The sequence below is a fragment of the Homo sapiens genome, chromosome 11, assembly GCF_000001405.40.
Source record: "Homo sapiens chromosome 11, GRCh38.p14 Primary Assembly".
NCBI classification, from domain to species: Eukaryota; Metazoa; Chordata; class Mammalia; order Primates; family Hominidae; genus Homo; species Homo sapiens.
The window spans coordinates 89,594,568-89,617,966 of record NC_000011.10 but is presented as its reverse complement, the minus strand read 5'-3'; the positions used below and the strand labels follow the sequence as shown (position 1 = coordinate 89,617,966).

The 23,399-nt window shown below is 35.8% G+C and overlaps 1 annotated feature.

Annotated features, from left to right (window-relative positions):
* Positions 3,132 to 3,426: a silencer, noted in NCBI's record as "tiled region #15382; HepG2 Repressive non-DNase unmatched - State 13:Ctcf". NCBI's record gives its function as "represses a minimal TATA promoter and a strong SV40 promoter by Sharpr-MPRA in HepG2 cells {active_cell/tissue: HepG2}" and the evidence as "EXISTENCE:reporter gene assay evidence [ECO:0000049][PMID:27701403]".

Genomic DNA, 23,399 nt, shown 5'->3' with positions numbered 1-23,399 from the left:
CCCAGACCTCTGTACCAGAAATTGAAATAGGAAATAGAAGATATTGAGGATACTAGGTATTCTCTACCTGTGTTATTGACCAGAAACAGCAACATATAATTTTTCTTTACAGGGACTAAGCTAATCAATAATGAAGCAATGTCACTGACAATCACACTCATAGAATGAATTTTAATAAAAATATATTTTTATTTTGGATGCTTTTTGTTGCATTTGAGAGAATGAATTGAGAATTTTTGTTTTTTTAAGTCAGGTGGACTCCTAATAACTTTTAAAGGCTAAGTTAAAAAGGTCTCATTTTCTCTAAGGCATTTATGACTTACCAGTCAGTCAGTCACTCTTTCCTCAGCATATTTTATGTATATCTTAACTCTAGCTCTTATCACATTATTTCATAGTTTGCTGTATTGGGTTAATTCCACAACTAGGCTTTGTGTCCCCAGGAGCTACAACTGCTTCTGTCACATAGTAGGTTCTCATAAATCTTTGTTGAATAGCTTATGTAGACTCAGATGCCACAAGATTGGCAATAATTCACTGTTATTACAAAAAGAGAATTAATATAAAACATCACCTTGTTTGTAGACATATTAAAGAAGAAGGGAACCATGAAACACAATCTTTAGGAATTACAATGTGTCCTCTAAGTTTTGGATTTAATTGTCCTACCTAAATCTTAACAAACAAAAGCACATTGATACTTTATTTGTCTTCTTCTTATGTTTTGTATTACCCTGACTTAGTCACCAGATGTCACTATGAGACTGTTGTCCAGGTCACTCTTTCTTTAAACAAGAAGGAAACAAAGACCTCACATGAGGCATGGAGCAAAACCTATGTCCTTGTGGAAACACCTTATAAATGTTAAGGCTAGTAGATTTAGGGTTTTATTTTAGAGTGGATTTTGGCATGGCTTAGTGTGTAAGAAAGAGCACTGGACTGGGAATCGAGAATCCTGGATTTTAGCCCCAGTTCTGTCATTTTAGAATAATTGACCACCTGGTAGATTTCTTTACTTTTCTGGCCTGTGAAAGATATCCTCATCTGAAAATAAGGGTGGCAAAAGAACCTCAAAATCTTCAAGCTCTAACATCCAGTGATTCTATTCCCTTCTTTTGCTAATTTCTTGGAAAGTAGCCAGAGGTCTTTACTACCAGGGATGATTTGGAAAGTCAGCATAAGTGAGAATAATGAGTACCTATTGCATACTCTATTTTATTCTAAACACAGTCTCTGCTAGGTTTTGACCTACCATGAAGTGGGGAAACCTTTATGGTCACTCTCACTTCTACACAGTCTCTGTATATTGGTGGTACACATTGTGTGAAATACCTTTTCCATCTAGAGATTGCTTCATTTTTTTATTATAAAAACATTACACAAAATTTGTTTAAGGTGTCATGTAAATATACTTTTAGTGACTGTCATTTTTGGGTTTCACTCTCAGAGGAAAATGAATTATTTATATTAGGTATTTCTGAATACCTAATCTGAATATTCTTGCTTTTTTTTAAAACCAGTTCTCTGCAATGTTCACCCATCCACCTACCTAAAATATGCACCACTTAATCTTTTATTCATGCTGCTCCACAGCGTCCTGTAATCATAACCCACTTGTGGTAGACTCAGACACTGTTGTTGTATGAATGCCTCATTTATCTCTTTCTGTGCATATTTATGTTTCAGTTAGCTATTTTCATTGCATGTAGTTCCTTCCATAGTGTGGGTTCTCGTATTCTCAGCCATTTTCTTTGTCATTATTTTACTCAGAGTCGAACCACAGAGTAAATATTTTTGAGAACAGTCTGAATTACATGGAGCCTTTAACACTTACAGGCACTATCCTAATACCCAAATTATTATATAGAACAAGTTGACACAGGCTTTTATAGAATTATCTAATCCTGAAACATATCTTGAGTATTTACTAAATGCTCCACACTGTTGATGTTCTGGGATTGAAACAGCAGATAACACAGTATGGCACAGAGAGAGCAGGAACAAGCATTTACACAGCAAAGTGGTGACCGTTACAGTGGAGTTGTGTGCAACACACTGTGAGAGGCTAGAGGATGGTATAGACTTACCCTTGAGCTGACCTTCAAAAATAGTCAGGAGGGTTTGCATGGGAGGTTGGGAGTCTATTCCAGGCAGAGGGGACAGCAGAGGCAAAGAAAAAGAGGTTTGAGACTACATATTAGACTGGAGAAGTGCATATGGTCTGTACTTACTGCTTAGCAACAGAGTAGAATGATTTGCTGGGAGGTGAGACTGAATTAACATTAATCTATTGATTTCTCTTTGAAATTTACAAAATTTTCTCCTCTCCCCTTCCTTCTTTATGTATTTTGGTTCTACTGGAGTCAGTTCAGGTGTTTCTTAGGAAATTGTTCTTTATGATCTCTGTGAGTTGACATTAAAATATACATTATGTATGTTCTGTGACACATTGTTACTCTTACATGTTAGTTGTTTAACACCTACATGGGCTCTTGCCTCAGCTAAACAGTGAGTTCTCAAAGATCACATTCATGATTAGCAGCCACACTGAATTATTATTACATGGAAGAATGGAAGGCAGGAATGAAGAAAGGAATGGTGGGAGGGAGGAAAGAAGGTAGGAAGGAAAAAGAAAGAAGGGGCGGAATAAGCACTTGTAGTGGAAGATGGAATTAATGTTTTTCAAGAGTATCTTAGTTTCTAAGATGCTCAAATACAATGAGAAATATATTTGAGCATCCTGAATTGTGTGAAAGTTTTAAAATAATATTTGTCAATGTTCAGGAGAAAAATCCTTCTGAGCATGTGAAACAAGAGGAAGACCGAAGGTAGATATGCATAGAACCCTATCCACAGTTACTGAGTATGTTTAGTAGTGTAGAAATTGAGAAAAACTGCCTTATAGAGAGCTCAGCTCCAAAATGACTGGCATGAGATTTAAACTCAGCATGTATAGGTCACATAAAATAATATCACACTCCAATCTTAGATATCATAGACCCTAAAAGGGCAATAGTGCAAGGTCTTTCATTGCACTGTCTTGATATTTCTAAGTCAAACTGCTTTTTGTTTCAAGGAAACACAACCTCTTGAGGAAGAAACTTCTGAGATGGCAGCTGCCAGAGATATACAAGCTGCCCAAGTGAGGGGATAGGAAAAGCTGAAGACAGGCAGACATGACTGTGGGTCCAGGCTCTACCTCTTGGTAGCTATGTGACCATCGTCAAGGTGCTGTGTTTCTTCTACCCAAGCTTCAGTTTCCTTGCTTATTAAATACAATGAGTTTTTTTTTTCTTTCTGACAGAGGGGGCAGCAAAGACAAAAAATTGATTACAAGAAAGGGAGTATCTGAAAAACTCGGCATCGTGCCTGACACGTAGTTAAGTGCTCGGAAAATAATAGCCATAATTATTGTTGACAAGTCTGGAGCAGGAAAACAAACAAGCATACAGAACACAAGATTAGACTGTAGGTTAAAAAATACAAGGTCTAGTTCTGGCTCTGTCATTTATTTGCTACATAACCTCAGTCACATGTGTTGTTTTCCCTCATCTATACAATTGGAGAATTCTACCTATTGTACCTACTTGGCAGCATCATATGAGATTATATAGATATAGATATATATAGCACTATATGGTCTAAGGGATCATTTTTATTACAGACTTGATTTGAAAAATGCAGAGTTCCACTCCCTCAAGATGAAGCACCCGTGCCTTGTTCTGCCTGACAGCCTAGGACTGATGCTACTTGCAGAATTTTAGTGCTCTGGTTACTGAAAACAGTATCACATGGCACCGTGCAAAGTACAGTGCCCATTTTATGGTCTTATGAAGCACACATGCCAAAGTTGAGAGTTTAATTGAAAACCTAGCAGTTTTTCATGATGGCTCACAGTACTTTACATTTTTAAAGAAACTCTTAATAGGTTAGCAACATGGTGTTTTGTTGTCATGGTTATCATAAACATCCAAGTCACTATCGAGTGTTATTCATTTGTAGGTTATTTAGTCAATCATTCTACTCACTATTCTTAGAGATTGATATGATTTAAAGATACTATTGTTCTTTTCAATTCTTGTTTCTGCAATTAAGATATACTACAACATTTTCTTACATTAATGCCAAATCTTTTTAAAAATGTCAGCTTTCTTCCAAATAGTCTCCTCAAATAATACGTTAAGGACTTCCAGAAAACATGGGGACTACCAAACCAATACTCACTCTTTATAGCTAAGGAAAACTGAGCTGCAGAGAGTTTTAGAGATTTATACAAACTTCTATGGTGTTAGTTGAAGAATATTAGTTGTTCTTGCCTATATGTTTTCAAAGGCAGATCATGTCATCCTTGAAGGTAAAGTCATATTTTGTTTTGTTTTGTTTTAATTCAGTTTACTTCATAGCATTTGTATTTAATATAATTAATTCAGCAAATGTCACTTGTTTCTTTATATTGTTACATTTTGTTTTATGTTATCCCTGGTAAGTCATTATAAACTTAGTTTTCAAAATAATTTCCACACGAACAATTTTGTTATATCTTAGCCATATCCCTTTGAAGAACATAGTATAGTTATCACTCTATTATAAATTTTACTTGCCAAATGATGATATTGAAGTTCAAAGAATTTATGGCCTTGCTCAATGTCTCATGGCTAGTAAAAGAAGATGTCAGAACTTAAATACAAGTCTCTGACACCAAGCTTTCTCTAATCCACAGAAAGTGTTATTTAAATGAAAATATTAATTGCTTAGAGAAAGTAAACTTGAAGAAATAAGGAAGTCAGTTTTGCTTGGAATTAGAGGTGATAATTTTCATTCTCTTCAGAGCTCTGGTTGCATGTGAAACTAAACTGGATTGGAATCCCATTATGTAATTTGAAGTATCGTTAGTCCTTAAGACACTAGACATTGACATGTTTAAGCATAATTTTGTAAACTCCATTCAGAGTAAGATATAATGTAATTGTTTTTGAATTCCCCATACTAATGCCTTTCTTCACCAGAGAAGTTAATGGTGCCTTCTATATGTGACTTATATGTGCACTTCCTCAAATTATCAACAAACAACTGAACTTGGCTTCCTCAGTGTGAAAATATCTTATTGCTTTCAAAACATTGCAATATTACAACTCCAAAAAAATGTAATTTTGATCATATGCATTTTACTAAGAAATAATGGTTATTATTATATTTGGTTTTATTTATTCTGTATTACAGTTAAATACCATATAGTAAATATTTATTCATATGCTGCTTCCTCTTAAACAGGCTTTGAGATAGGTTCACATGTGCAATAGATTAATAAAATATAAGTACACATGAAAAATTGACAATGGTTGAAGAATGATGGATAATGCTTGAATAAAAGAGGAAAGAATGAATTTTCTCTAAATTCAGCCATTATTTATGTATTTTATAATCATAGAATTTTAGAACAAGAAGAAATCTTAAAGTTTTTATTATTGAATATCTTTTTTTATAGCTGAAAAAATTATAGACCTAAGCGTTTTGCCAAATATCACACAGTCAATTGGTACCAGCACCAGGACCAGGACATAAGTTATTTTTTAACTTTGTGCCAGAACATCCCCAACCTGACACATCTGACTTCCTTAATAACGCATTACTTAATAATTTGACTCTACTTTCACTTTTCCTTTGTAATCCCCAAAGTGAATTACATGACCAGAAAGCAGAAGTTCAGAAAGAATATATTTATGATCAAACTTTGTCTTCCCTTTTCAAATATATTTTTCTTATTATTTGCTTAAGCGAGCACATTGAGTGAAGAATAGCATCTAGCAGTTTGCTCATTCAATGTGCATTGCCGATAGCTACCATAAATATTGTAAACCACTGATACAACTTTTTCTTTTCTCATTCCAAAAAAGGACATAGGCAGGGGGAGCCGTGTGAATATCCCATCACACCATGGCTGGATTATTGGCTAGTACAACTCTGAGTCCTTCTATCTGCTCCCAATCAATTCCAGCCACAAATTTTATGCTCATTGAATCCATGAACAAGAACATCATCTTAAAATATTGACTTATCAGAACAAAATAATCAATGACTCATTTAAAATTATTAAATCTAAACTTCTTTAACAAAGCTCTACAAAATCAAACCCTATGAACTAGTATTGTAATGAGGGAGGGAAGGTATGCATAGGGCAAGTTTTAGATTTTAAATTGGAGAAGTAAGTGCTATTTGAGGGAGATTCAGGGAAGGATCCAATCCTAATATCAAAGTCAGAGGCATACTCCGTCATGACAAAGGGGGACAAGAAGCAATGGAGGCAGGATGCAGTATTGTCCTCAGAAAAGAAGCTTGAACCCATAGAATGACTCCCATAGAAGAAAAAGGCACAGGTGGAACTTCCCAAGGACTCTCTTCTCTACATTGGCAGGCCACCTGGCAGTTTCTGGGGACTGAGACCCAGGTGCTTTAGCCAGATGGGGTTGCCTCTGGGAAAATGCACACAGAACTGATCTTACTCTGCCTTCCTTTCTAATCTCCAGGGTTTCCTGAACAAGTTTCACTGAATTTTTGATCAGAAGCAGCTTTGGGCTGTTTGAAAAAAAAAATCTGTTGATCTGCATAGTTCTTTATGCACCATTAAATAGAAGGCACCTCAGTTCAGTCTTTTACCATGAAACCAAACATACCCTTTTTAGGTCCATGTTGGAATAGTTCTTTGACCAAATAAAAAAGAAAGGATTATATATCAGGTTATGAACAAAGAGCATGTGTGATATGATAGAGACAGATTGGTCAGAAAGTACACGCTGGCATTCTGAACTGGATTTAGGAAGACTGCTGTTCCAAAATCACTTTAGAGACTATATAAGCAAAACAATAAATTACAATGTAAAATAAAAATATTAACACTTCTATTTTTATATAAGATAATTATCATTTAATGTAGTATAATATTTAATATAATAGATTAACACATATTCATTATTCATGTATCAGAAATACATTTTCCAAAATTTTCTCTGATGGGTGAAGCATCAAAGAAGTTTGGAGACTGCCACTCTGGACCTTCTCTTCATAGGCTCATGAATCTTGCAGAACTATTCACTTCAACATTTTAGAAAGACATGAGCAGATTACAGATGAATCTGCTTAGCCTTCTGGAATAACTACGGATATGGTTGTGAAGCCAATGTGAGTTTACAGTAACTAGTCAAACTGAGGGGCCAGAAAGAGGATGTGAAAATGCCTTGCTTTTCTTCTAGAATATAGACATTCAATGGATAAGAAAAAAATAATAAAAACAGGAAAACTGAGACCCAGAGAGATATATTTAAATGTCTAAGATAACAAACCTCATAACAAGTGCGTGAGCATTTGAATTCAGTTCAATTTTTTATCAAGGCCTGTGTCTTGCTGCTACAACTTGAAGCATTTGTTCTTTTGTTTATATTATTTACATGACATAATAGCCTCTTTTCTGTCCTTTCCTTTACTGAGTCCTTTCCTTCCTTCAAAACTCAGTCCCTCTTTTCCATGAAGCCCTACTGATGATTCCAGCACTTATTATTCAGTGTCTTTTTCCAAACTCCAGACATGAACTTTGTTTATTGAGAGTTTACTCCATGCCAGCCACATAGGCATTTCACATCTCCTCACATAACTCTGTAAGTTGTTGTGGTAGGCAGAATAATGGCTCCCAAAGATGTTCACACCCTAATCCCTGAAACCTATAGATACGTAACATGACAAAAAATTTACAAATTAAGGCGATGTACATTAAAACACACAGCTTATCCTGGGTTATCTGAGTGGGTCCAATCTATTCACATGAGCCCTTAAAAGTGGAAGAGTAAACTAGAACAGTTCATCTGAGATGTGACAGAAGAAGATGCAGGAGAGATCCAAAGCACGAGAAGGTCAGGACCCACTGTAACTGACTTTGATGACGAATAAAGGGGCAATAAGCAAAGGAATGTAGGTGGCCTCTAGAAGCTGGGATTGGCCCTCAAATGACAGCCAGCAAAGAAATGGGGAGCTCAATCCTACAACTGTAAGAAACTGAATTCTGTCAATATCCCAAATGAGCAAGGAATTGGATTCTCCTCTAGAGCCTCCAGATAGGAATACAGCCATGATGACACTTTGATTTCAGCCTTAGGGGCCCCAAAGCAAACAAGCCAAGACTTTTGATCTATGGATCTAAACTGTGAGATAATAAATTTGTGGGTCTTTTGGGCTTTTTTTTTTTTTGAGACAGAGTTTCGCTCTTGTTGCCCAAGCTGGAGTGCAATGGCACAATCTCAGCTCACTGAAACCTCTGCCTCCTGGGTTCAAGTGATTCTCTTGCCTCAGCCTCCCGAGTAGCTGGGATTACAGGCATGCATTACCTTGCCCAGCTAATTTTTTTGTATCTTTAGTAGAAACGGGGTTTCATTATGTTAGCCAGGCTGGTCTCCATCTCCTGACCTCAGGTGATCTGCCTGCCTCAGCCTCCCAAAGAGCTGGGATTTCAGGCGTGAGCCACTGCACCCGGCCAAATTTGTGTTTTTTAAGCTGCTCAATTTGTAGTAACTTGTTACAGCAGAAGTAGAAAACCAATAAAGTTTCTATTTCTGGGATAAATCCCACTTGGTCATGATGAATTATCTCTTTTATGTGTTGTTGAATTCAATTTGCTAGTATTTTACTGAAGAATTTTGCATCAATATTTATCAGACATACTGGTCTGTAGTTTTCTTTTTTATATTTTGATGTATCTTTAACAAAAAACTGGCTATAGAAGGGACATACCTCAATATAATAAAAGCCATATACAGCAGAACCTTAGCTAGTTGCATACTGAATGGGGAAAGCCTGAAAGCCTTTTCTCTGAGATCTGGAACATGACAAGGATGTTCACTTTCACCACTGTTATCAAACATAGTTCTGAAAGTCCTAGCTAAGGAATCAGTAAAAAGAAAGAAAGAAAGAGCATCAAAATTGGAAAGCGGGAAGTCAAATTATCCTTGTTGGCAGATAATACAATCTTATAGTTGGACTCCACCAAAAAACTATTAGAAACTATTAGAATTGATAAATAAATTTAGTAAAGGTGTTATCTATAACTTTCAAACAAAAATTGGAGCCATACAAGAGTTAAGCTCACACAACTTGCAATTGTCAGAATTGATGCTATTAAATATGCTCTACTTTGAATGTGTGTGACACATGGTTTCTCTTTCTCTTTCACTTGAGAGAGATAACTGTATCTTAGATACATTACTTATCTATCTTCTCCATATTATCTGGTGTAGTCCTGGACACACAGACATCCCAGGGGGTGGACACTTGATGTGCTTCCCAGATCCTCCAACAATGAAGGACTTGGTGCTCTAAGAGGTGAGAATGTTGTCAGCCCCTTCAGAGACTGCCCCAGCTACAGAGCGGCCATAACCAACCACACACCCTCCAGAGGGTTGCCTGGATAAAATGACCGCTCCATATAGAAGGCCTGGCCAAGTTGGCCCGAGTCTGGACAACAATGAAGGGCTCTGATAGCTTCAGAGCTCCCCATAGGGTTGGTGGAGGCTGCTATTGAGATTACTTTGCCCATCAACTTCTCCCTGCTGCTTCCTGCTTCCTTCCCCTTCCTTCAACAGATGTGGACTCCATGGACACTCCTTAATAAACATCTTGCAAGCTAAACTGCTTCTCAGAATCTGCTTCCCAGAGAACTAATCCTGTATAATCCCACTGATACGTTTGGTTACATATGTACATATTGAATAAAGTTTATTTTACCTAGTAATTTGGGTAAAATATTAGCTCCTTGTCACAAATTTCCAAAGTGCAGAGACGGACTATTTTAATTGTGCTTGCAACTTTTATCTCATATTGTATGACTTTGAAAGTTGTTGAGAGCATATTTTATAAATAATCTCGCTTTGGGTGTTTTAGTAGTGTATGTGTAGCGCATAAATTAGGCAGCATTCTCATACAACACATATAACAGGTACTACAGGGACAGAGGAAGATCAGCATGTATCAACAAAAACCACACATTTTATGATTAACACAGAGGATGATATGGAAAGTTGAGTATACCCTCCCCTAATTTTTTCCCCGACTCTACAACCGTGCTGTGATGTTCCTGGCTTTGCGTGAGTTAACTTACTTGGGAGTACCAGAAAAGAAAAGAGGCTTTTCAGCGTAGGATTGTTTGTTTATTTGTTTGTTTGTTTAAGAGATAAGATCTCACTCTGTTGCCCAGGCTTGAGTGCAGTGACGCAATCATAGTTCACTGCAGCCTTGAACTCCTGGGCACAAGCAATCCAATTCTCCCATCTCGGCCTCCTGAGTAGCTGGAACTAAAGGCATGTGCCACCATGCCCGTCATGTTGTTTTTCCTTGTTAAAACCACTGAAGCCATCTTCCTGGTACCCATGATGAGATCACTCCTCTACTTGTCTTCTTGTTGCTTATTCTATCATCTCTGCACCTCCTGCTTTCCAAGAATTCACTGGCTACTAGATAGCCTTCTGCTATTTTCTAGTATCCTTATGTGCTCTCAAAATATGTGATACATAAGCAAAACACTGTTAACCATCACGAGAGGTTAGATTAACAGCTTCTTTCTTTTTTGTAGTTGCAATCTTTCCTCTCTCCTTCTACCATTTTTTTATTTGTTTTTAATGAAAAGAGGCTTCTAAGCATTTATTTTCACTACCTCTTCAAGAGCCACAAAAATCAAAAGTACTAAGAGTAATATTTTTAACTTTAGGAGCCCCAGGCAACCTTTCAAATAGATGACAAGCTTACAGTCAATAAAGAGGAATTTTAACCACATATCTCATGGATACAATGATGAACACTTGTCCCTTTTTACAGTCAGGAAGTAGAATCATCAGACCTCAAGTCAAAGTCCACATTTAAATCCCAAACACTCAGCTTCCTATGACGCATGCAGACATCCTTGCCCTTTGAACATACTACATCCCATAATAGTTGTTTTGCAGTGAATGCGCATTTCCTGGAGAATTGAGGTTGCCTCCTGGCCTTCCAATGTCCTGTGCTTCACTTCTATAATAGGTACATATGCATGGGCAAAGCTGTTGCCTTTGAGTTTTCACTGCCCAAGCTCAGGCAGGAACATAAGTTATCAGGATAGCATCCTAAAAGCACCTCTATTTCTTCCTGTTGGCAGTACATGCCAGAAAACTAAATTTTATGTTGTTTCATCTTATTTTTGGCAAGTTCATTCTGCAAAAGATATATCTTAACAGTAGCCAAGCACAAGCAATCAAACTCAGACTTATTATTTTCTTAATCCCGCATCACCCCTCAATATGGCCATTTTGGCCAGATTAACCCTGTGATTACATGTCTACTTGCGTTCTGTTTATTGGTTATTGTCTCAGTACATCTGCAATTTTAAGATTCATTACATTATCTTTTGCTTGTCTCTCCTATTCACCTGTCCGCAGTCTGTGTTTCACCTTTGCCCTCACCTGTCATCAGCCTGTCTCCCAAAAAAGGCCCCACCATTGTTCTGTTGCAAAATTCTATTTGGTCAGCTGCCTCATTACCTCTATTCAGGTCTTTTTCCTCTCCCCATATGCTCCAGTTCTCTGTTCCTGGATATGCTGGGTATAACTGGCACTCACTACTGAGTACAGGTACCCCTTATATGTGAGAGTCCTGGAGGCACCCAACCAATCTCACTATGGTCCTCAGTCAATGACTGAAATTGAGCTGCATTTCTTCATGGAGAAGTGGGAAGAATACCTCTTTCCCAATTTTAGCATGGCTGTATTCCACACAAGCATAAGACATTTATGTTTGTGTCTCAATCATTTACAAAGTTTATAGTGAAGTAGCTCTTTTAGGTTATAACTTACACTGCTTACTTTCCCCACCACCTATTAGCAAAAGAATGAGCCCATGGGACATTTGAATAGGAGACCAATCTGAGTGAAACTATTTACATGCAGATAGGTAACACCCAAAATTCTTCTTGGTAAAGCCAAATGCTGATGAACAGTGGCCAAACTCATTAGTTTAGCTCTCTTCCCCCCTACCCAGCTTTAATGAGGTATAACTGACAGTAAAAATTATATATATTTAAGATGTACAACATGATAATTTGATATATATACATGGTAAAATGGTGACCACAATCAAGTTAATTAACATATCCGTCACCTCACATAGTTACCATTTTTTTCTTTGTGGTACAAACACTGAAGATCTACTCTCTTAGCAAATATAAAGTATACAATACAGTATTAACAACTACAGTCTCTATGTTGTCCATTACATCCCCAGAACTTATTCATCTAATAACTGAAAGTTTATACCGTATGATCTTAGCTCTTTCTTTTATGGTAAGTCTCAGACTAGGCCTACTCCTGCGGGAGACTAGAGGAAATTCCTGAGCAGAAAGTGGAGTAGAGCAGGTAGATCTGAATAGAAAGTTAGCATGAAAGAAGTCATAGGGGCCTAAGAAGAAGGAGCATTGGGGAAGGGGACATGGTATGAGGACAGAAGCAGAATTATCATCAAGAGACTGCAAAGCACATATCAGTCATAACTGCCACAGAATAAGGCTCGTAGTCCTATTGTGGCTATTTACATAGGCATTTCTGCACATAACCTCTGTCAAGGGTACATGTTGGCTGTTCTCAGCACCATCGGACAGAACAAACCATTACCACTTGCCTCTCCATGTGTGAGGACCTCCCAGCAGAAATACTGCTTACCTGTGCCATGAGATTTGTTTAGTACCCCGGTGCTGTCTGGGTACCTTTCTCTAAGCTTCCCAGGAAATTCCTAAGGTCTGGAAACACAGGATAGTGTTCTTGACCAGTAGTGGTTTCGAAGAGAATTTTCATTCCACTTCCAGCCTCTGCATTTGGGTAGAACAAGACCACAATAAAATGAATTCCATTACACAAATATTACTTACAAATTCTGATCCTTCCTGAAGTGACTGGGAATATTGTATTTCTCTTTTGATTTGGAAAGAGTTGATATTTCTTCTCACCAACCTGCACTAAGTTCTGTTTGAACTGAGAATCTTTTACATTGGCTTTTTTTTTTCCCCAAAATCTGAAGTAGTGGTTCTTTTGACCTTACCGTTAACTGAAAGGAGAACAATTGGCTATAAAAGTAAGTGCAGCGTCTCTAAGAAATCCAAGTGTTTAGCAAATCAAATACAACATAAGGCACTTTAAGGTTTTATTAAAATCTCATTTATTGGCAAGAGTTGCTTCTTTCTGAAGAGTTCTAGTCTGCCTCTCAAGACTTAATCTGATGTTTTCCATTTGTTTTATAGTATGTTTTTTACCCTTTTCCTCACACAGTTCTCATACCTTTATGAAACTTTTCCCTTATGACTCTACTTCAGTGTCGTCTTCCCAGAGAACCCAACCAGTGACATCCTGAAAGCATACGCTGTGAGCTTTGTGAGAGCTGGGACTTAACGGCAGTTTTGTTCAGGGCTCTGTTTCCAGTGTCGTGCTCTGCAGATGACATAAAGCAGGCACTGGATAGGAATGTTGAATGTTGAATGAATGAACAGCATCCATGCTTATGGTCAACAAACCTAGTGGCCTCTGAGTATCATGATAAAGAGCACTTGCTCTGGAATCTGACCATGTGAGTTCAGTTTGGCTCATTTGCTTCCCAGGTTGTAACATTGGATGAGTTCATTAACTTTTCTACTCTTTTATTTTTTCATGTGTAAAATTGGAACCATAGTTGTATCCACAAGATAGTTTTTCTTAAATTTGTATTGTTTTATCTTGTTTTTGAAGATTAAATGAATTGTGAAGCACTTAGGAGAACACTGAGCAGATAGATGTTCTGAATTAAAGTCAATGATACTACACAGTATGAATGTTTATGGTGGCAGAGTGCTCATTATCTGATTAGGTGATTCTTACTAGTTTTAGAAGTTTTCATTTCTAGAATGACCTTTCTGCCCTCTCCATCAATATACTTTATTATAGAAGTCTGCTCATTCTCTTTAAAACACTTAATGGTCTCTGAAATAAACTTGCTTTACAAAATCAATATGGAGGGAACTTTTCCATCTTGTTTAGTGTTATATGCCCACTTTAAGAAGAATAGTTAACATCTAATAGTTGTTTAATAAATATTTATTTAAAGAATGCATTGAGTAAATTGTTTAAGTTTTATTTTTATGTTATGGCAAATTTGACCTCATAATTGTATCTATCAGTTCTATCTCAGCTCTGTGGAGCAAAAGATAATGGCTTTAATGCCTTTTATTTTCTTTTTAGCTATTCACATTTTTATTTGTTATTTTTAAAAATTATTCTCAATTTTTTGGTGTACATAGTAGATGTATATATCCTTATGGGGAACATGTGATATTTTGATACAGGCTTTAATGCCTTTTCTATATGACAATTTATTGGACATTTGAAGAAATGATCTTTCCTTTATTTCTCTATTCTTTATGTTTTCCTTATGATTGTGTGTGTGGTGGGTGGGGGTAGGTAATGGAAGATAATATGAATATAGAAAAAGACATAGAGAATTCCTAAGATGGGGCAGGCGTGGCGGCCCATGCCTGTAATCCCAGCAATTTGGGAGGCTGAGGCAGGCAGATCACATGAGGCTAGGAATTCAAGACTAGCCTGGCCAACATGGCGGAAACCTGTCTTGACTAAAAACACAAAAATTAGCTGGGCATGGTGGCACACACCTGTAATCCCAGTTACTTGGGAGGCTGAGGCAGGAGGATCACCTGAGCCAGGGAAGCAGAAGTTGCAGTGAGCTGAGACCACACCACTGCACTCCAGCCTGGGTGACAGAGTGAGACTCTTTAAAAGAGAGAGAGAGAGAGAGAGAGAGAGAGAGAGAGAGAGAGAGAAAATTCCCAAGAGTGAATTTCCAACTCCAAGAGCTTTAAAGTGTCATGTGAAGTCACTGAAGGAAGAAGACTTTGGAGAGTGGTGTTCCAGTAATAATATCCGGCCCTTAGAATAGTCTCCTAAACCACAGAAAAATATATGCCAGAAGAGTATCTAATTCAAGAAAGAGGAAGATATGTAACCCAAAAAATGCAGTCAGGTCTGCCATACGGAAGCAAATAGATGGCATCCATATGGCAGACCTGGAGAGGACAGAGGGTCTCAGGGGGGAAGATGTACTAGTCATTTACCTATGGGTCCTTGGCTCCAGATCCATATTCCTGTACTCAACTTTGTGATGCTTAGGTTAGGACTGTACAAATTGTATTTCAGAGACCTATTTTTCAGCACTAGAGAAATATTAGGAGGTAAAAGAAGGGGAGCTGGGCCTTCCTATTTATTGCTATTTCTGTCAATATCAATCTACAGTGGCAATTCGTTTCCACATTTGGCAGCTGAATAAACACTATTGGGTAAAAATATACACCTGCTTTTTAAAAGTCATTATTAGTTAAGTTCTCCCTATCCATCCGAATAGCACACTGTTCAAAGCTCATACACCATTGCAAAGATAATTCTAAAATTTGTTTGGAACCACAGAAGCACCTGAATAGCCAAAGCAATTTTGACAAAGAAGAAAAAACATGAAATCATACTTCTTGATTTAGAATTATACTACAAAGCTATAGTGATCAAAACAGTATGGTATGGGCATAAAAACAGACACATAGACCAATGAAACATACTAGAAAGCCTGAATATCAACCCAAGCACAAACAGTTAACTAATTTTTCACAAAGTCACAAGAAAAACAAAATAAGACAAGGATAGTCACTTCAATAAATGGTGTCGGGAAAATTAGATACCCACTTGTAAAAGGATAAAATTGAATCCTTATCTAACACTAAACCTAAAAACTACTCAAAGTGGATTAAAGGCTTAAACATAAGACTTGAAACTATAAAATTCCTAGAAGAAAATATAGGAAAAAAAACTCCGTGACATTGGCCTTGCCAGTGATTTATTTGATATGGCAGCAAGATCTCAGGCAATAAAAGCAAAAATAAGCAAGAGGGACATCAAACTAAAAAGTTTCTGTATAGTAAAGGAAACAGTCAACAAAAAAAGACAACTTATTGACTAGGAAAAAACATTTGCAAACTATGTATTTTATAATGGATTAATATCAGAAAATATAAGAAACTCATACAATGGCAAAAAACAAACATGCAAACAAACAAAACCAAACAAAAAAACACACCTGATTTAAAAGTGGGCAAATGACCTGAATAGACATTTTCCAAAAAAGGCATATAAATAACAGGTATATGAAAAAGCACTCAACATCACAAATCATTAGGGAAGTGCAAAACAAAACACAGTGAGGTCACCTTACAGTTGTTAAGATAGTTATTATCAAAAAGATTAGTATTGGCAAGGATGTGGAGAAAAGGCAACCCTTGTATACTGCTGGTGGGAATGTAAATTGGTATAGTCACCATGAACAACAGTATGTATGTTCCTTAAAACATCGTAAGTAGACCTACCATAGGATCCATCTGGGCATATGCCCAAAGCTTATGAACTCAGTATGTCAAAGAAATATGTGCACTCCCACATTCATTCCAGTATTACTCACAATGGCCAAGACATGGAAGCAACTAAAGTGTCCACTGATGATTAATGGATAAAGAAATTGTGGTATATATACATATAAATACACACATACACACAAATGTTATTAAGCCTTCAAAGAAGGGTGATCTTGTTATTTATGACAACATGGATAAACCTGGAGGACATTATGCCAATTGAAATAAGCCAGACACAGAAAGAAAAATACTGCACCATCTCATGTACCTGTGGAATCTAAAAAATGAGTAAATAGAAGCAGGGTAAAGTGGTTACACCAGGGCCGAGGAGGTGGGGGAAATGGGAATATTCTGGTCAAAGACTGAATAAGTCTAGAAATCTAATGTACAGCATGATGGCTGAAGTTAATAATACTGTATTATATACTGGAAATTTGCTGAGAGTAGATTTCAGGTGCCCTAACAACACAACACACAAAAAGGCAACTATGTGAAGACATTAATATGTACATTACTTGACTGTAAAAATCATATATATATATACACACGCACATATATGTATATATATATATACACACACCATGACTGTATACAATTTTTATTAAAAAATAAAGTAGCAATATGTGGGGGAGAAAGGCTCATCTGCTACTAGACAAGCCTTCCTTACAAACATATAGGAAAATAAAACAAGAGCTTAGCATATTTAGAAACTTTATGTTCTGCATGCATGTAAGTATATATGTATTTATTTATTTCCTTGTATTTTGATTCTAAATAATCTGAGTTGGCACCAAATTTGAGAGTTTAACTTCATAAAACATTTTATTTAAAAAACAGAGTCCATATTGACACAAATTATTTAAAAAACAAATTAATGATGGAGAGTAGACAACTCTCCCCTGCAGAAGAATTCTAAATAATTTATGTAGGTATTCCACCCTTAAAAAGGTAGAGAATAACTGTCATCTTAAGTGTGGACTGTTCATAGTGACATTTTCTCAGGGAGCACAGTATGGAAAGAGGTGGAAAAGATTAACTTTATAATAGTATGACAAACAGTATTTCAGTGAAGAGATTAAGGTAAAGATAAACGGTTATTAGTCATCTTGATCATGTGTATCCTTGATATACTGTGATGAAAATGGCACTTCATGCCTTTGGTCATTCTTCCAAAATACCATAATTTTATTCTAATTATGACTTTTTTAAAAATCAGTAAAACCTCAGTTGAGGGACATTATACAAATACCTGACGAGTATATCACCAAACAGTCAAGGTTATCAAAAATAAGAAAAAAACAAGAAAAAAAAGTTTTACTTATTTATTTTAACTTTTATGTTTAAGTTCAGGGGTACAAGTGCAGCTTTGTTACACAAGAAAAATAACTTAAAAAACAAGGTCATCAAAAATAAGAAAAATCTGAAAAAATTGTCATAACCTAAAGGAGCCTAAGGAGACATAATGACTAAATATATGATATCCTAGATAAGATCCTGGTCATGGGGAACAGACAATGGGTAAAATCTAAGGATATCTCAATAAACTATGGAATAGAAAGTTTAATCAAAAATAAGTTGAAGTCCCCAAAAATGTTTTTAACAAGAATATTCTTGCATTTGTATTTTTGTCCTTGTTACTGTTTATAATTCCCCTTTCCATGATCTTTTGTTAATTGATACATAATAATTGTACATGTTTATAGGGTGTATGTGCTATTTTGATACATGCATAGCATGTGTAATGCTTAAATCAGGGTAATTAGAATATTCATACCTCAAACATTGATTACTTCTTAGTGTTGGAAACATATAAAATCTTCTTTTCTAGCTATTTTTAAATATACAATAAGTGATTGTTAACTGTAGTTATTTACCCTAGTGTGCTATCGAACACTAGAATTCATTTCTTCTGTTTTGCTTTAACCAACCTCTCTTGTTTTCCCTTCTCTCTCTCTCTATATATATATATGTGTGTGTGTGTATATATATATATGTGTGTATATGTATATATATATATATATATATATATATATATATATATATCTCACATTTAAAGATAATTTGTTTATGCATTGGTAGACACTTAGGCTGATTCCACATCTTTGTTATTATGAATAGTGCTCAACCAACATCGGCATGCAGATTTCTCCTCAATATACTAATTTCCTTTTGTTTGTATTTATATACCCAGCAGTGAGATTACTGGGTCACATGGTAGATTTATATTAGTTTTCTGAGGAACCTCCATACCGTTTTCTATAGTGGCTGTACTAATTTACATTTCCACTGGTAGGATACTGGAGTTCCCCTTTCTCCACATCCTCATCAGCATTTGTTATTTTTTTCTCTTTTTGTTAATAGCCATTTTAACTGCAGTAAATGATATCTTATTGTGTGTTTCATTTGCATTTTCCTAATGATTAGTGAGGTTGAGTATTTTTTCATATGCCAGTTGGCTATATGTGTGTCTTCTTTTGAGAAATGTCTACTCGGATTATTTACTAATTTTGTAATTGGATTTTTTTTTTTTTTTTTGCTATTGAGTGTTGGAGTTCCTTATATATTTTTGTTATTAATCCCTTGTTGGATGGATCGTTTGCAAGTATTTTCTTCCATTCTATAGGTTGTTTCTTCACTCTGTTGATTGTTTTCTTTTTTCTTGCACAGAAGCTTTTCAGCTTAATGTAATAGCATTTGTCTATTTGTCTATTTTTGTTTTTGTTGCCTGTGCTTTTGAAGACTTTTCTAAAAAACTTTTGCCCAGGTCAATGACATGAAGTGTTTCCCCAATATTTCCTTCTAGTAGTTTCAGAGTATCAGGTCTTCATTGAAATCAAGTCTGTAATTCATCTTGATTTTATTTTTATATACAGTGAGACATAAGAGGTCTAGCTGATCATCTCAATAGACGCAAAAAAGCATTTGAAAAAATTCAACATCACTTCATGATAAAAACCCTCAACAAACTAGGTATAGAAGGAGTGTGCCTCAATATAGTAAAAGCCACATATAGCAAACCAGTGGCTAGTATTATACCAAATGGGGAAAAGCTGAAAGATTTTTACCAAAGAACTGGAATAAGACAAGAATGCTCACTCTAACCACTCTTATTCAACATAGTACTGGAAGTCCTCGCCAGGACAATTAGTCAAGAGAAATAAATAATGAGCATCCAAACTGGAAAGGAGGAAGTCAGATTATCCCTTTTTGCAGAAAACACAATACTTTTATATTGAAAATCCTAAAAGCCCCACCAAAAAAACTTTTAGAACTAATAAACAAACTCAGTAAAGTTGCAGGATACAAAATTAACATACAAAATTGGTAATATACCAACCACAAAGAAGCAGAAAAAGAAATTAAGAAAGGAATTCTATTTATAGAAGCTACAAAATAATAGCTTCTATTTATTTATTATTCTAGGTATAAATATTTCTAGGTATATTTATACCTAGATATATCTAGGTATATTTATTTCTAGGTATATTTACACCTAGAAATAAATTTAACTAAGTCGGTGAAAGACCTTTATATGAAAAACCATAAAATGCTGATGAAAGAAATTGAAGAGATCATAAAAAATGGAAGATATCTTGTGGATTGAAAGAAATAATATTGTGAAAATGACCATACTACCAAAATCGATCTACAGATTAAACGAAATTTCTATTAAAATACCAATGATATTCTTCAAAGAAATAGGAAAAAAAATCATAAAATGTAAATGGAACTAAGAAAGATAGCAAATAACCAAAACAATTTTGAGGGAAAAAAAAAAGAAGTTCATGAATGCCTTTTGTATGGTAGATGAGTGTGTTTCCTTTCCTATTGACTTGCCACATGACTTGTCTTGACTAATGGAATTGAGAAGAGTTTGTGTGCATGATGTAGCTTAGCCCCATTAGAACCACCATTAAAACAGAGAATATATTTTAGGTCTCTATGCCTCTATGTCTCTATGCCTTTCCTCCCTTATGGGGAGAAAACTAATCTAAAATGAAAGAACAGATACAAGGGATCAAAATAATCCTGGCAGTATTTGAATCCCTAAGGCCAGGTCTTTCTAAAGACAGCTACATTCCTATCCACAAATCAATCAATCAGTAAGACGTAAGCAAATAAATAGCAAAAAACAACAAAAAAGCTATCTATGGAGTGTGATGGATATGTCAATTTGCTTGACTGTAATAATAATTTCACTTTGTCTGTATATATCCCAGATATTGGTTATTCCTCTTGCCTGCATTCCAGAGTGAGAAAACAAGTGGAGCTGAACTGAGCCAAGTCTAGCCAAGCATCATTGAACTCATTGGAGCTACAGCCATATCGTAGCCTTCATGTAATATGAGTAAGAAATAAATGTTTGCTCTTATAAAACACTGAGATAATAGGAACATTTATTATTGCGACAAAAGAAGATTAACACACTTGTTGATAACTTTTCAAAAACATTTAGTTCTTGTACCGTCTCCTTCATAAAACTTCCTCTAAGTGTTTCTGTGACTCATCTATAGTTTCCATATTTAGCAAATAAAAATGGAGGACTCAAAGCTGGCATTTAAAAATATGTATAGCTCAACTTCCTAACTTGATTATAAGCTCTTTAAAGTAGGATCCAATCTTATTCATAACATCCAGCAATATATATTGGACTTCTACTGTTCCAAGCATTTTTATTAGACATTGGAGATGTAATGGCATGTGAAAATAAACAGAAGTTTTATACTCTTTAAGCTTTTAAACTACTGGAGGAAACAGAAATTAAGCAAATAATCAACAAAATAAATGTCAAAGTGTAGTTCTAACCAATGTTATTTAAAGATACCAGGTGCATGGTCCTCTGAGAAACTGTGTATGGGAGACCTGATCAAGTCAGGAAGGTAAGGAAAGGCTTCCCTAAAGGAGTGAGGTGATTTCTCAAGTTAAGAGGCAGAAAGGTCAGACAGAATAGTCCAGCCTCTGCAAATTCCATAGATGGAAGTTAGCAATGTGTCTGAAGAAGAAAGACTAAAGTTGCTATGAGATGAGATTGAAGAAGTAAATAAGGACAGCCATGGTATCTCCCTAATGATAAACGCAGTCCCACATGCTTAGTGTGTGTCCAACAAATAATCATGACCATATATGGCTTGACTTAGGTATATTGAATGCCTGTGGCTGATAGGATTACAGACAGAAAAAACACATAGTCGCTATCTTCAAGGACTCTCTCTCTCTCATACTCTATCTGCTAGAAGCTATAATAGTTCAGCAACCATCAGTCATAGTTGAGTTCTAAGTGACAAAAAGCCAGCTGTCACTGATTTATTCAAAAGAAGAAAATCACTTTATTGACTAATGGAATACAAATAAATATTAAACAACCAAGCTACAGGAAGGATAGGAGTGTGGCTGTCTTTAGAAAGACCTGGCCTTAGGGATTCAAATACAGCCAGGATTATTTTGATACCTTGTATCTATTCTTTCATTTTAGATTAGTTTTCTCCGCATAAGGGAGGAAAGGTATAGAGACATAAAAGTTAAAATTGAGAGATAAGTATGAACACTCCAGTGGAAAAGAGGTAGAAAATCTGAAGACGAGTGAAATTATGGGGTCTGAAAAGCCAAAATACATTTATTGTTTGAGGAGTGTATTTAAGAGAGTATAGTAGGTGAACTTAGAGATAATCTAGAGTTACATCATGATAAACATTATTACCTGACTAAAGGAAGTTAAACTTGATGCCAAAGGTATCTAGTCTTCATCATTAGTTTTCTTAATTTTTCTGGGCTAAGGTATTCTCATTTGCACAATGAAAGATGTATTGGACATACTTTGCTCAGTGCTGCTTTACTTGAAGAATTAATCTTTCCCTACATCATGTGGTGATGGTGCAACTGTGAAATATCACCACTCCATCACCCAACTACAGGTATAACCACATGGCTCAGGGGGGACAATCAAAGTGCTTCATCCCTTTAGCCATAGAGACTTTTCAGAGATAAGAAACTAATCTGAGCAAGGCCATTCAGAGACATATTATGAGATTTGATATGAGCATGTCAGAGAAAAGGGATTTTCTAACTTTTTGAGGGAAGCTGTAAGATAGGCTAATGGCTGCTTCAGTGGCCAAGGAAGAATAAACATGAAGCCAAAACACAAAAGAAAGCACTGTAAAGGGAAGGAAAGAGAGTTATATCTAAGTCCTTGGATCTGTCCATGCCTGAAGCAATAGCCACTGGTGGACTTCCTAGCTGTATGAGCTAATTATTTTCCCTTTTTTCTTAAATAGTATGAGTTAAGTTTCTTAAAATTAAAATATTTTTGATTAAAATGGAGGTAATTCTTTCTGCTCACAGGGTTATTGTAAAGATCAGATTTATAAGAATCTGGCAAGGCTGGTGGCCCATACCTGTAGTCCCAGCTACTCTGGAGGCTGGGGCAAGAGGATCGTTTGAGCCCAGGAGTTTGAGCCTGCAGTGAGCTATGATCATCCCACTGTACTTCAGCCTGGGTGACACAGTGAGACCCTGTCTCAAAAAAAAAAAAAAAAAAAAAAAAAAGAAGGAAAGAAAAGAAAAAGAAGAATAAATATATAATTCATTGTAAGCTGTAAAGAGCACCTGAGTCATTATTTGACTTTTAACAAATTCCTTTGGCCACAGAGAAAATAATAAAAACAATTATTCTCATGAAATAGTGGTAAGTTATACTTTTCATGAAATAAACTACAGTAATAGATTTTTGCATATGCTGTGATTTGGAATCATAAATGATCCTAATTGCCTCTGTGTTGGGCTTTGTCTAAATACTATACTTTGTTTTTACTGGTATTTGAAGCCAGCAAGTAATATGTTTATTCAAACACTTGTGGCCAAATATCCTTAATTACTTTCTGAAACAGTTTCTGAATAGGGAGACTGG